This window comes from Homo sapiens, chromosome 22, assembly GCF_000001405.40.
Source record: "Homo sapiens chromosome 22, GRCh38.p14 Primary Assembly".
Taxonomy (NCBI): domain Eukaryota; kingdom Metazoa; phylum Chordata; class Mammalia; order Primates; family Hominidae; genus Homo; species Homo sapiens.
This window is the reverse complement of record NC_000022.11, coordinates 37,717,000-37,731,966: the sequence shown is the minus strand read 5'-3', so window position 1 is coordinate 37,731,966 and position 14,967 is coordinate 37,717,000. Positions and strand designations below refer to the sequence as shown.

Here is a 14,967-nt window from a genome sequence, read left to right as displayed (position 1 = left end):
CCATAGGCCCTGCTGTCTGTGGTGGGCCTGTGCCTGAGGAGCCATGCTGGAACGACACCTTCAAAAGTATGGGATTGGGCAGGGCGCAATGGGTCACGCCTGTAATCCCAGAACTTTGGGAGGCTGAGGCAGGCGGATGGCTTGAGCTCAGGAGTTCAAGACCAGCCTAGACAACATAGTGAAACCTAGTCTCTAAAAATACAAAAATTAGCCCAGGTGTGGTGGCTCATGCCTCTAATCACAGCACTTTGGGAGGCTGAGGTGGGTGGATCACTTGAGGTCAGGAGTTCGAGACCAGCCTGGTCAACATAGTGAAACCCAATCTCTACTAAAAATACAAAACTTAGCCAGGCGTGGTGGCACGTGCCTGTAATCCCAGCTACTCAGGAGGCTGAGGCAGGAGGATCGCTTGACCCCAGGAGGTGGAGGTTGCAGTGAGCTGAGATCGCGCCACTGCACTCCAGCCTGGGTGACATAGTGAGACCCTGTCTCAAAAAATATATATATATATATATGGGGTTGGGAGGCCAGGTACAGTGTCTTTACACCTGTAATTCCAGCACTTGGGGAGGCTGAGGTCAGAGGATCACTTGAGTCGAGGAGTTTGAGACAGCCCTGGCAACAGAATGAGACCTTGTTCTAGGAAAAAAAAATTTTTTTAATGAGCCGAGCATGGTGGTACGTGGCTGTAGTCCCAGCTACTTGGGAAGCTGAGGTGGGAGGATCGCTTCAGCCTGGGAGGTTGAGGCTGCAGTGAGCCATGATCATGCCACTGCATTCCAGCCTGGGTGAAAGAGCAAGATCCTGTCTCAAAAAAAAAGTATGGGGTTGGAGTTTTTTGTTGTTTCATGTCTTTTGCCAATGTCATTAGAATCAGAGCCATAAAGCACAATAATGTTAGTTGTTAGCAGTTATTGGCAGCTGGTTCGGAGAGGAACCAAAGTTCCCTGGAGGAAGTGTTTCTGAGCTTGAGGGCTCCCTGGGCAGGCTGTTTGTAACTTTTTTTTTTTTTTTTTTTTTGAGATGGAGTCTCGCTCTGTCACCCAGGCTGGAGTGCAGTGGTGCAATCTCAGCTCACTGCAACCTCCGCCTTCTGGTTTTAAGTGATTTTCCTGCCTCAGCCTGCTGAGCAGCTGGGATTACAGGTGTCCACCACCATGCCCAGCTAATTTTTATATTTTTAGTAGAGACGGGGTTTCACCATGTTGGCCAGGCTGGTCTCATTTTGAACTCCTGACCTCAGGTAATCCACCTGCCTTGACCTCCCAAAGTCTTGGCATTACAAGCATGAGCCACTGCACCCAGCCAATTTGTAATCTAATTGGAGGTGAGTGCGTTTCCTTACTCTGTGAGAGCTGAAGGCCTTAGAGTGAATTTTCCCCCGAACTGGGGTATAGGAGCTTCGATGAAGCAAGAGCCCAGACGTGACCCAGTGGGCTGTTCCTCCCTAATGGGGAGGACCAGGAGGACAATAGTGGAAACACCCGGTGCAGGGAAGCAAGGCACTTGTGTGTTCTCTTCCGGATGGATGCATTTTCCATACGAACTCCAGCTTGCTTGATGAGCATTCCTCCTGAGAACTCGCCTTCCTTTTTTCCCCCATGTAGAACTGAGAGAAAAGAGTGAGGGACTCAAGAAGATTCTGAAACCCCAACAGAGACCTGGCTTGTCCGATGCTGAAGCAACAGCGTCTCCTCGGGGCCACCTGTTCCCGAGGGTTGATGTGGCCGCACCAAGCATGACAAAGGAAACGTTTCCTTCGGAAGCTTAGATGGGTTCTTCGACCTCCAGAGAGAATTAAAGGAGCAAAGCCATCAAGTCTAGCAAATCCAGTGAAGGCTAGGTTTTGAATTCAAATGACCACAGGATGCTACGTGACTCTAAGAGATGCCAAAGGCATCTAAGGAAAAAAAAATTAAGATCAAGCCAAAACTCCCAATGCTTTGATGTGACAACCCTTTAAGAAAAATTTTCCAGACTCGGGACAATGCTTGGACAGAGTAGATGCTCAATAAATACATATCGATGAGGAAATAGGAGAAAATAAAAGCACACTCCTACAGCCACCCGCTCATAAGCTCCAGTCTGTCCCTTACACACACACTGCACAGTTTTAAAATTTTCCATATTCAGAGGATGAATGGTTTTCTACTTGGAAAAGGTGCCAGATAAGAGGAAAAATTTTAATTATTCAGTAAAATTATGAAAACTTCCCTAAAAGGTAAATAAGCTATTTCAAAGAGAGTAGAATTAAATGTATAGGAGTGATCGTGTAAAAACAAATGGTTAATAAAAGTGTAAACATATTTCTCATTTCTATTATTAATATAAACACCTTATCTCTCTGAAATTATCCTGGAAAAAAGGAAAGAAAATTAATTAACTTTGGCTTAAAGACCTTAATGTCCCTGCTGAGTTATTAGTTAAGACAAAGTTAGGAAAATTGACATTAGACAAGAAATAGTAATCATAAAAAGGTCAAAGACACTTTGGGAGGCCAAGGTGGGAGCATTGCTTGAGGCCAGGAGTTTGAGACCAACCTGGGCAACAAAGTGAGACTCCATCTCTACAAAAAGTAGAAAAATTAGCTGGGTATAGTGGTACACGCCTGTAGTCCCAGCTACTGAGGAGGCTGAGGTGAGAGAATCGCTTGAGCCTGGCAGTTTGAGGCCGCAGTGAGCCATGATCACGCCACTGCACTACTGCTGGGTGACAAAGCAAGACCCTGTTTCAAAAAAAAAAAAGGTCAGACCAGGCACGGTGGCTCACGCCTATAATCCCAGCACTTTGGGAGGCCGAGGTGGGTAGATTGCCTGAGCTCAGGAGTTCAAGACTAGCCTGGGCAACAGGGTGAAACCCTGTCGCTACTAAAAATACAAAAAAATTAGCCGGATGTGGCGGCATGCTCCTGTAGTCCCAGCTCCTCGGGAGGCTGAGGCAGGAGAACTGCTTGAACCCAGAAGGCAGAGGTTGCAGTGAGCCAAGATTGCACTACTGCACTCCAGCCTGGGTGACAGAGCGAGACTCCATCTCCAAACAAAAAAAAAAGTTAAAGACACTGAAGACTTTCAGGGTGAAACTACTCCATGATGTTACAATGGTGGATACTTGTCATACATTCATTCAAGCCTATAGGCTGTACATCACCAAGAGTGAACCCTAAACTTTGGGTGATTTCATAGTGTAGGTTCATGGATTGTAACAAATGTATCACCCTACTGCCCAGTACAGTGGCTCACCAGCACTTTGAGAGGCCAAGAAAGGAGGATCCCTTGAGGCCAGGAGCTGGAAACAAGCATACCTATCTAGTACAGGATATTGGTAGTGGGAGAGGCTGTGCATGGAACACTGCACTTTCTGCTCAATTTTGCTGTAAACCTAAAACTGCTCTGGGTTTTTGTTTTTAAGGCCAAAGAAAGAATTATACTAATGCTGGAGACCACACGGTTGTCATCTGGATATTAAATGATCAAGCTTACTGGAAAAGGAAATTTGAAGAACAAGAGATAAAGTTTCTTTTTTTTCTTTTTTTGAGATGGAGTTTCACTCTTGTTGCCCAGGCTGGAGTGCAATGACGCAATCTCAGCTCACTGCAAACTCCACCTCCCAAATTCAGGCAATACTGCTGCCTCAGCCTCCTGAGTAGCTGGGACTACAGGCGTGTGCCACTATGCCCGGCTAATTTTTTTTTTTTTTTTTTTTTTTGAGACGGAGTCTCACTCTGTCACCCAGGCTGGAGTGTAGTGGCATGATCTTGGCTCACTGCAAGCTCCAGTGCTGGGATTACAGGAGGGAGCCACTGCACCCAGCCAAGACTGATAAGGTTTCTCATGCAGATTCAAATCCAGGAGAAAACTTTCCCAAGGAGCAGCAAAGAGGAATTTTAGATACAAAATATTCCATACCCTTTAGGGTGATGAAAATGTTCTAAAGTTAGATTGTGGCAATGGTTGGACAACTTGGTAAATAAACTAAAAATTCGTTGAATTATATACATGGAAAGTTTTGAGACTTCCAGACTGCTTTTTGTTGCTGTTGTTCTCTTGACCCTAACTAATGGAATTCTAGCTCTGATTCTTGAAAACTCGAGGGCTGGAACTTCTGGGGAGAGAAACCTCAGCCTGATCAGGAGGAAATGCTCCCCTTCCAGGGGGCCAGTGCTGCTGACCAAGGAGACTCAAAAGACACCTGGACTTCAGGTGTCCCAGGATGTTTGACTGCTAAAAATCCATAATTCTGTGAGCTTTCTTTCTTAAAATAGGTAGCTCTGGCCATACATTTTTATTTTATTTTTATTTTTAGATGGAGTCTCACTCTGTCACCCAGGTTGGAGTGCAGTGGTACGATCTCGGCTCACTGCAAGCTCCGCCTCCCAGGTTCAAGCAATTCTCCTGCCTCAGCCTCCCGAGTTGCTGGGACTACAGGCGCCCGCCACCATGCCCAGCTAATTTTTTGTATTTTTAGTAGAGATGGGGTTTCACCGTGTTAGCCAGGCTGCTGTCGATCTCCTGACCTTGTGATCCGCCCGCCTCGGCCTCCCCAAGTGCTGGGATTACAGGCATGAGCCACCGTGCCCGGCCCTGGCCATACATTTTAAATTGACATAACTGTTTTCTGAAATGCATAGGGACCCATGAGTTTTCTTTGCCAAGGCAGGAAAAAATCATGGGTACTTTCTTCTTCTCCCTCATGCACGGAAGAAAAAAAAAAAAAACCCATGAGTCTGGATCAAAGGGTTTGAGAGTTCACTCTCATTTTGGCCGGGCACGGTGGCTCACTCCTGTAATCCTAGCACTTTGCGAGGCCGAGGCGGGTGGATCACTTGAGGTCAGGAGTTCGAGACCAGCCTGGCCAATATGGCGAAACCCCGTCTCTAGTAAAAATACAAAAAAATTAGCCGGGTGTGGTGGCACGTGCCTGTAATCCCAGCTACTCGGGAGGCTGAGGCAGGAGAATCGCTTGAACCCAGGAGGTGGAGGTTGCAGTGAGCCGAGATTGCACCATTGCGCTCCGGCCTGGGCAACAAGAGCAAAACTCCACCTCAAAAAAAAAAACAAAAAATAAAAAATAAAAAGACAGTTCACCCTTATTTGAATGAATGTGCTCATGTTCCCCTCCCTTACAGATGAGGAAACTGAGGCTCAGGTAGGTTAACTCACTATATCAGGTCATACGAGTTGACATGTGGCTTTGACCCAGGATTTGGACTCAGCCCTCCTGACTGCAGTCTTTGCTGTTAACCACTGGGCTGTGCATGACATCACTTAACCACACACACACACAAAACAGAAAACTCCCAATATGCAGAAACAGAGAAATGGAGCGATTTGCCCAAGGTCACACAGCCGGTAAATGGCAAGCCAGGGGGATTTGAACACTTTCTTTTGGCACCCTAACCCTTCACCTGTCCTGCTGCCGAGCCTCCTCCCCAGCCCACCTGGCTGACCCCACCCCCGGGCTCACCTGCGCTCTTGCCCGAAGAGGCGCTCCACCTCTGCACGGCCAGGGCTGTGGGTGCGGCCCCCGCTGCTGCACTGCGCCTGGGGCCCTGGCTGTCTCTGGGCCAGCCTCCTGGGTGGGGGCAGGTCGGCCAGCACAGTGTACTCCTCCCGCTCCAAGTTGTGCCTGGTCTCCCCGGGAGGCGCTGAGCCCCGGGAGCCCCCAGAGCTGCCCGGTGAAGGTGAGGGTGCCAGGAACGCTAGGTCACTGGGTGGGTGGCGGGGTGGGGAGGAGGCTCGGGGTGCATCCCGGTGCCCGATGCACACTTGGGGGATCAGCACTGGGGAGCCATGCAGAGAGTCAGTGGAGGGGGCCAGGCTCTCCATACTAGTTCCAGGGGGATCCTGGAAGAAGAGGGATGGCTCAGGAGCCTGGCGTGGTGGGGATGAGAAGGAGGGTGCATCCCGGTGCCCAATGCACACAGGGGTGGGGATGTGGGGGCACTCGTGCAGAGAGTCCATGGAAGGGACAAGGCTCTCTGTGCTGGCCCTGGGGAGGTCCTGGAATAAGAGGGAAGGCTCTGGGGCCTGGCGTGGTGGGGAGGAGGCCCGGGGTGCATCTCGGTACCCAATACACACAGGTGCAGGGAGCTGAAGGGGCTCGTGTTGGGGGGACTGACACTGATGCTCGGCATCTGATGTGTCTGGGAGGAAGGGGAAGGGGTCAAATTGGGTGTGGCGGGGGGGCGAGGACGCCCGGGGGGCATCTCGGTGTCCAATGCACACAGCAGGTGGTATATAGGGAGGCTCGTGGTGGGGCGGTTCACTCTCAGGGGCGCGGGGCTCTGGGAAGAAGGGGAAGGGGTCGTGCTGCAAATAGCGAGGGGGCGAAGAGGCTCGAGGGGCATCCCGGTGCCCAATGCACACAGCACATGGAGGCTGGGAGGGCTCAGGAGAGGTCAGGGGAGCCCCATAGGCAGCGGGGTACACAGGTGAGGAAGTTCGGGAGGTGCTCTGGTGGCCTGGGTTATGGGAGGAAGAGGTGGCCCGGGATGGCAAGTTGTACTGGGTGGGGCCAAAGGAGGACTGGGGTGGGTCATGCTGGGCTGGCCTGCTGGGAGAGGATGTCTGAGGCCTGTCACCTTGGGTTGGCCGGAGGGCGATGGATGCCCAGGGAACCTCGCTTTGCTTGGAGCGAGATGGGGAAGAGGTTCGGGGACCATCACTCTGAGTTGGCCGGAGGGGAAACGAGGCCCAGGGGATGTCTTTGTTAGTACGATGGGGAGATGAATTCCTGGGATTGTTCCATTGAGTGGAGCGGTGGGGAGATGATGGTCTCAGATTCTCCTTTTGGGTGCAGCATTGAGATGAGGAGGTTCCAGGGTTGTCTCGTTGAAAGGAAAAGGACTGTGTGCGGTCCCGCTGTGTACAAGTGGGTCTGAGGTTATCTCGTTTGGTACAAGAGGTTTTAGGGTTGTCTTGTTGGGTAGAAGATGATCTGGGGATGTTCTGTTGAATACAAGTTCTGGGGTTGTCCTGTTGGGTGGCTCTGATGGGAGAGGAGGCTCTGAGATTGTCCCGCTGGGCACAGGATGTTCTGGGGTTGTCTCGTGTGGCTCTATTGGGAGAGGAGGTCCTGGGATTGTCCTGTCGGGTACAGGATGTTCTGAGGTTCTCTTGTTGGATGGTTCTGTTAGGAGAGGAGGCTCTGGGATTGTCCCGCTGGGCACAGGATGTTCTGGGGTTGTCTCGCTGGATGGTTCTGTTGCGAGAGGAGGCTCTGGGATTGTCCCGTCGGGCACAGGATGTTCTGGGGTTCTCTTGTTGGGTGGTTCTGTTAGGAGAGGAGGCTCTGGGATCGTCCCGTTGGGCACAGGATGTTCTGGGGTTCTCTTGTTGGATGGTTCTGCTGGGAGAGGAGGCTCTGGGATTGTCCCGTAGGGCACAGGATGTTCTGGGGTTCTCTTGTTGGATGGTTCTGTTAGGAGAGGAGGCTCTGGGATCGTCCCGTCGGGCACAGGATGTTCTGGGGCTGTCTTGTTGGGTGGTTCTGTTGGGAGAGGAGGCTCTGGGATTGTCCCGCTGGGCACAGGATGTTCTGGGGTTATCTCGTGTGGCTCTATTGGGAGAGGAGGTTCTGGAGGCTCTGGGATTGTCCCGCTGGGCACAGGATGTTGTGGGGTTGTCTCGTGTAGCTCTATTGGGAGAGGAGGCTCTGGGATTGTCCCGCTGGGCACAGGATGTTCTGGGGTTGTCTCGTGTGGCTCTATTGGGAGAGGAGGTTCTGGAGGCTCTGGGATTGTCCCGCTGGGCACAGGATGTTGTGGGGTTGTCTCGTGCAGCTCTATTGGGAGAGGAGGCTCTGGGATTGTCCCGCTGGGCGCAGGATGTTCTGGGGTTGTCTCGTGTGGCTCTATTGGGAGAGGAGGTTCTGGAGGCTCTGGGATTGTCCCGCTGGGCACAGGATGTTGTGGGGTTGTCTCGTGTAGCTCTACTGGGAGAGGAGGCTCTGGGATTGTCCCGCTGGGCACAGGATGTTCTGGGGTTGTCTCGTGTGGCTCTATTGGGAGAGGAGGTTCTGGAGGCTCTGGGATTGTCCCGCTGGGCACAGGATGTTGTGGGGTTGTCTCGTGTAGCTCTACTGGGAGAGGAGGCTCTGGGATTGTCCCGCTGGGCGCAGGATGTTCTGGGGTTGTCTCGTGTGGCTCTATTGGGAGAGGAGGTTCTGGAGGCTTTGGGATTGTCCCGCTGGGCACAGGATGTTCTGGAATTCTCTCGTTGAGTGGTTCTGTTGGGAGAGGAGGCTCTGGGATCGTCCTGCTGGACACAGGGTGTCCTGGGGTTTTCCCGCTGGGGAGTACAAGTAGGAAAAGAAGTTTGGGGGTTGTCCTGCTGGGTAGAAGAGGTTCTGGGGTTATCCAGTTGGGTGCTTCGTGAGGGAGAGGAAGCTCTGGGGGTGTTCCACTGTGTAGATGAGGCCCTGGGGGTGTCCTCTTGGGTGGATGAGGCCCTAGGGGTGTCCTCTTGGGTGGATGAGGCCCTGGAGGTTTCCTGTTGGGTGGATGAGGCCCTGGAGATTTCCTGTTGGGTGGATGAGGCCCTGGAGGTGTCCCTTTGGGTGATTCGATGGGGAGAGGAGGCTCTGGGGATTTCACGTGTAGAGGCAGCCTGAGCAGTGTCCCTTTGGGCAGGAGAAGCCTGAGACGTGGTGCTTCGAGGTCCACTGTGTGGTGTCATGGAGGAAGCCTGGGTCAGTGTTGACCGGTGCCGCTCCAGGGACAACCCGCTTTCTCCCCGGAGCCTTGCCCAGTGCTGTCCTGCGCTCCGGCCCCCACCGCCGGTGTCTGGAGAGAGAAGAGAGGGGCTCAAGGTAAGGGGAGAGGTCCAGGCAGCTCTCATATTCTACCTTTCTTTGTCCCTTAGGACCAGTGATTAGGGCAAACCCCACACCCTCCTCCTACAGGTCTCACTGTCTGTACCAAGTGACTCCACCTCTCTGACCAAGGCTGATTAGACAAGGGCTTGGATGCCTCTCTCAAGCTGAGGTCAAGAATTTGAAATTGAGACCCTGACTCACTCAAGAGATGGGTTCAAGAACTGGAAGGCCACAGGGTCTGGGGATCCACGGACAAGACAGAGAAGAAGCAAATTTGTGGAGAGAAGTGTTGACAATGGCCTGTGTGACCCCAGGGAGGGAGAGGTGGGCCCAACAGCAGCCACCTGACAGTCTTCCCTTCCCAGTTCTATTTCCTTCAATCAGAATCCAAGGAATTCCCCCCATTTCTTGTTTTGTTTTGTTTTTGAGTCAGAGTCTCGCTCTGTCGCCCAGGCTGGAGTGCAGTGGCGTGATCTCGGCTCATGGCAACCTCCGCCTCCCAGGTTCAAGCCATTCTCCTGCCTCAGCCTCCCGAGTAGCTGGGATTACAGGCATGCGCCACCATGCCCAGCTAATTTTTGTATTTTTAGTAGAGACGGGGTTTCACCATGTTGGCCAGGCTGGTCTCGAACTCCTGACCTCAGGTGATCCGCTCACCTCGGCCTCCCAAAGTGCTGGGATTACAGGCGTGAGCCACCATGCCCGACCTTTTTTTTTTTTTTTTTGAGACAGAGTCTCGTTCTGTCACCCAGGCTAGAGTGCAATGACGCGATCTCGGCTCACCGCAACCTAAGCCTCCTGGGTTCAAATGATTCTCCTGCCTCAGCCTCCCAAGTAGTTGGGATTACAGGCATGCACCACTATGCCCAGCTCATTTTTGTGTTTTTAGTAGAGACAGGTTCTAATGAGCCTGTTTCCTGTGCGACAGCTCTAGAAAGCCCCTGTTTTTTTGTATCCAAATGTTCCTACCCTGAGGCTTCTCCTAGGGCTGCCATGAGGATAGGAAAGGTGCAGGGATGGACAACCTTTTATAAACTGGTAGCTGGGAGTTTGCCAGAAATGCAGAATCTCAGGTCCCAGCCCAGATGCACTGCTTCTGGATCTGCATTTAACAAAACTGTCTGGTGATTTGTACACCTTATAGTTTCAGAAGCACTGGCCTAAAGGATTAATGTAACTGTCCTCAGTAGTGACCCTCTTTGCAACTCCTAGCCTCATGACAGAGTTGCCATGACCTTGGTGTGTCACCCTCCACCCCGCTCAATCCCTCGGTCACCAAGCAGGTGTTGAGCACCCCTATGTACATGTCCCTTGGCTACTGCTTTAGGTGAAGAGTAAAGGGTATCATGGCCTCATCTTAAAGGAGCCACAACTATGGGTGTGGTGGCTTACACCTGTAATCCCAGCACTTTGAGAGGCCAAGGTGGGAGGATCACTCGAGCTCAGGAGTTCCAGACCAGCCTAGGCAACATGGCGAGACCCTGTCTCTACTACAAGTTTTTTAAAACTTAGCAGGGCCTGGTGGTACGTGCCTGTAGTCCCAGCTACCTAGGAGGCTGAGGCCGGAGGAGTGCCTGAGCCCAGGAGGTGGAGGTTGCAGTGAGCCAAGAATGTGCCATTGCCCTCCAGCATGGGCAACAGAGCAAGACATTGTCTTAAAACAAAAAACGAAACAAAAAAGTAGCCACAGTTGCCTTCATGCAGATCCCCTCCCTTCACGCCTTCTTAAGATCCCCTGTCCTCTCCCTTTGCAGCCACTGCCTCGTCCAGCCTCTCTGGGCTGGTGTTGGTGAAAGTCTGAGTTCCCAGCACCTAGCAGGGAATTCAAAATTTGCAAGGTTGCCAGGCACGGTGGCTCACGCCTGTAATGCTAACACTTTGGGAGGCCAAGGCGGGTGGATCATCTGAGGTCAGGAGTTCGAGACCAGCCTGGCCAACATGGTGAAACCAGTCTCTACTAAAAATACAAAAATTAGCTGGATGCAGCCGGGAGCAGTGGCTGATGCCTGTAATCCCAGCACTTTGGGAGGCCGAGGCGGGCGGATCACAAGGTCAGGAGATCGATACCAGCCCTGCTAACACGGTGAAACCCCATCTCTACTAAAAATACAAAAAAAAAAAAAAAAAATTAGCCGGATGCAGTAGTGCATGCCTGTAATCCCAGCTACTCGGGAGGCAGAGGCTGGAGAATTGCTTGAACCCGGGAGGTGGAGGTTGCAGTGAGCTGAGATCTGGCCACTGCACTCCAGCCTGGGTGACAGAGCGAGACTCTGTCTCAGAAAACAAAAAACAAAAAAAATTGCTGGTGGCTGATGTCCCATGGCATTCTAAAATACGTTTCATGCCTGGTAGTGGCTCACACCTGTAATTCCAACATTTCGGGAGGCTGAGGCAGGAGGATTGCTTGAGCCCAGGAGTTGGAGACCAGCCTGGGCAACATAGTGAGCCCCCATCTCTACGAAAAATAAAATAAATACATTCCATATTCACCTGTTTCTCTCATCTACACCCACTTCCTACTCCAAGCCACCACTATTTCTCTCCTGGATGGTTGCAGTAGCCCCCAAGCCTGGGCACTCTGGGGCCAATGTCATTGTTCATCCAGGGAGACTTTTTTTAAAGTCAAAGGTGAGCAGATCGCTGTGCCCCCAGCCTTCAGGGGAAACTGGAAGAGATGGGAAACCTGTCACAGATTGGAGGAGACGGAGGAGATGAGGAGAGGGACTAAAGGCAATGTGGGATCCTGGAATGGATCCTGGAACAGAAAAAGGATATTAGTAGAAAAACTGGTGAATCCCATCACGTCTGTAGCTTAGTTAATAGTATTGTAGCAGTGGGCCGGGCACGGTCACTCACGCCTGTAATCCCAGCACTTTGGGAAGCCGAGGCAGGCGGATCAGCGGATCACCTGAGGTCGGGAGTTCGAGACCAGCCTGACCAACATGGAGAAACCCCGTCTCTACTAAAAATACAAAATTAGCCGGGCGTGGTGGTGCATGCCTGTAATCCCAGCTACTTGGGAGCCTGAGGCAGGAGAATGGCTTCAACCTGGGAGGTGGAGGTTGCAGTGAGCCGAGACTGCGCCATTGTACTCCAGCCTGGGCAACAAGAGTGAAACTCTGTCTCAAAAAAAAAAAAAAAAAAAAAAAAAAGGGCGGGGGGGGATGAGTGAAACAGTGAGTGCAGTGTGGGGCCTGAGGTGTGATTAACGCAGTAGAGGGCTGGGTTGTATAAATTGGCAGGTTCAGGGGAGAAATCAAGGCCAGAGATGTGGACTCCGGAGTCATGGTTTTTCCCAGACAGTACCGAAAGCCAAGCAGCTAAGTGTGCAGGGAGAAGACAGAAGGGGCCCAGGACTGGGATGTGGGGCATCAGATATTTAAAAGTGAAGCAGAGGAGGCGGCCTCAGCAAAGGAGAGCGAGGTGGAGTGGCCCGTGAGGAAGGAGGCAGACCAGGAGTGAGGGATCGGGGAGCCCAGAGTGATTCTGTGCAAGACATTTATTTAGCACAAGGCCTGGAACATCAAAAAAACAGGTCACTGCTGTAATGCTGCTGCTGTTCTCATTGCTGCCTCATCTATTCAGCCATGATTGACTTGTGGGCAGTAAGTAAACGTCTGCTGAGTGCCTGAGTGAACATTGCTCCTCAGTTGAAGATGCCACATCTCCATCCCCTGCTTCCCTGAGCATCTGAAGCCTCAAAACCTCTTCCTCAGGGCTCGCAAATCCCACACAGCACAGCCAGCGCTGGGCCCATCCGCTCCCCAGCCACCTGCTCTCAGCAAAGGGCACACCATCTACCCAGACACCCAGGCCAGGAGCTGTGACTGTGTATCCTCCTGTCCAAAGTACCATCAAGTCTGCCTCCTAAACCTCTCTCCTTCTCTGTCCCCTCCTCACCCCACAACCATGGCCCTTATTTATTTATTTATTTATTTATTTATTTATTTGAGATGGAGTCTTATTCTGTTGCCCAGGCGGGAGTGCAGTGGGGCGATCTCAGCTCACGGCAACCTCCACCTCCCAAGTTCAAGCGATCCTCCTGCCTCAGCATCCCGAGTAACTGGGACTATAGGCGTGTCCCGGATCCCATCAGGCTCAACATGGTGAAACCCTGTCTCTACTAGAAATACAAAAAGTCAGCTGGGCGTGGTGGCAGGCACCTATAGTCCCAGCTACTCAGGAGACTGAGGCAGGAGAATCGCTTGAACCCAGGAGGTGGAGGTTGCAATGAGCTGAGATCGCGCCACTGCACTCCAGCCTGGGGAACAGAGCAAGACTCCATCTCAAAAAAAAAAAAAAAAAAAAACAAGCCCCAGTTGTCCCAGTAATGCCTGTCACAGCTCTGTGTCCTCCTGTCCCAGATCCCAATGGGCTCACACATGGCATTCCACGTCCTCATCCTGTTAGTCTCTTTTAATCAAGAAGAGTCCCCTAGCCGCTTTTTGTCCTATGAGGAGCCCAGTCATTTTGCAGAATGTCTTTCAATTCGGGTTTGTCTGATGTTTCACTGGGGTTAGGTGTAGGCAATGCATTTTCAGCAGGACGATTTAGAAGGGAAGGGATTCTGTGCCCACCCCAGCATCCCCTCCCCTGACCCCATGCATCATATCAGGGGGCATATTATGTTGGTTTGCCCCACTCTGGGGATGCTGAGCAGCCTCTTGGTGAAAGTGGTATCTTCCCGCTCTCCCCAGCCTAAGGGTGCCTTTCTCTCAGTAATCGATGCAGAATCTGAGGGGTGATACTGAGAGGTGACAGCATGCTGGCGGCCCTCACAGCCCTCGCTCACTCTCGGCGCCTCCTCTGCCTGGGCTCCCACTTTGGCGGCACTTGAGGAGCCCTTCAGGCCACCGCTGCACTGTGGGAGCCCCTTCCTGGGCTGGCCGAGGCCGGAGCTGGCTCCCTCAGCTTGCACGGAGGTGTGGAGGGAGAGGCGCGAGCGGGAACCGAGGCTGCGCGCGGCGCTTGTGGGCCAGCTGGAGTTCCGGGTGGGCGTGGGCTTGGTGGGCCCCGCACTCGGAGCGGCCGGCTGGCCCTGCCGGCCCCGGGCAATGAGGGGCTTAGCACCTGGGCCAGCGGCTGGGGAGGGTGTGCTGGGTCCCCCAGCAGTGCCCGCCCACCAGCGCTGCGCTGGATTTCTCGCCGGGCCTTAGCTGCCTTCCCACCGGGCAGGGCTCGGGACCTGCAGCCCGCCATGCCTGAGCTTCCCCCCGCCTCCGTGGGCTCCTGTGCAGCCCGAGCCTCCCCGATGAGCGCCGCCCCTGCTCCACAGCGCCCAGTCCCATCAACCACCCAAGGGCTGAGGAGTGTGGGCGCATGGCATGGGACTGGCAGGCAGCTCCACCTGCAGCCCCAGAACGAGATCCACTGGGTGAAGCCAGCTGGGCTCCTGAGTGTAGTGGGAACTTGGAGAACCTTTATGTCTAGCTAAGGGATTGTAAATACACCAATCAGCACTCTGTCTCTAGCTCAAGGTTTGTAAACACACCAATCAGCACCCTGTGTCTAGCTCAGGGTTTGTGAATGCACCAATCCACACTCTGTATCTAGCTACTCTGTTGGGGACTTGGAGAACCTTTGTGTGGACACTGTATCTAGCTAATCTAGTGGGGATGTGGAGAACCTTTGTGTCAAGCTCAGGGATTGTAAATGCACCAATCAGCGCCCTGTCAAAACAGACCACTCGGCTCTCTGTAAAATGGACCAATCAGCAGGATGTGGGTGGGGCCAGACAAGAGAATAAAAGCAGGCTGCCCCAGCCAGCTCTGGCAACCCGCTCGGGTCCTCTTCCATGCTGTGGAAGCTTTGTTCTTTCGCTCTTTGCAATAAATCTTGCTGCTGCTCACTCTTTGGGTCCACACTGCCTTTATGAGCTGTAACGCTCACCACGAAGGTCTGCAGCTTCACTCCTGAAGCCATCCAGACCATGAACCCACAGGGAGGAAAGAACAACTGCGGACGCGTCTCCTTAAGAGCCGTAACACTCACCACAAAGGTCTGCAGCTTCACTCCTGAGCCAGCGAGACCGCGAACCCACCAGAAGGAAGAAACTCCAAACACATCCGAACATCAGAAGGAACAAACTCCAGACACGCCGCCTTTAAGAACTGTAATATCGCGAGGGTCTGCCGCTTCATTCTTGAAGTCAGT

At 52.6% G+C, this 14,967-nt stretch overlaps 1 protein-coding gene across 1 annotated transcript in view, besides 1 other annotated feature; it reads right to left on the bottom strand.

Moving 5' to 3' along the window:
- The window catches only part of TRIOBP (TRIO and F-actin binding protein), a 79,509-nt gene that overhangs the window by 44,590 nt on the left and 19,952 nt on the right, over positions 1-14,967 (bottom strand). Inside the window, exon 7 of the mRNA NM_001039141.3 lies at positions 5,464-8,782. Within this exon, the coding sequence (NP_001034230.1) occupies positions 5,464-8,782 (3,319 nt within the window). The remainder of the gene's footprint in view (positions 1-5,463; positions 8,783-14,967) is intronic.
- Positions 5,644-6,145: an enhancer, noted in NCBI's record as "H3K4me1 hESC enhancer chr22:38121829-38122330 (GRCh37/hg19 assembly coordinates)". NCBI's record gives its function as "activates a minimal SCP1, AML or CMV promoter by ChIP-STARR-seq in primed H9 embryonic stem cells {active_cell/tissue: H9 hESC(primed)}" and the evidence as "EXISTENCE:reporter gene assay evidence [ECO:0000049][PMID:30033119]".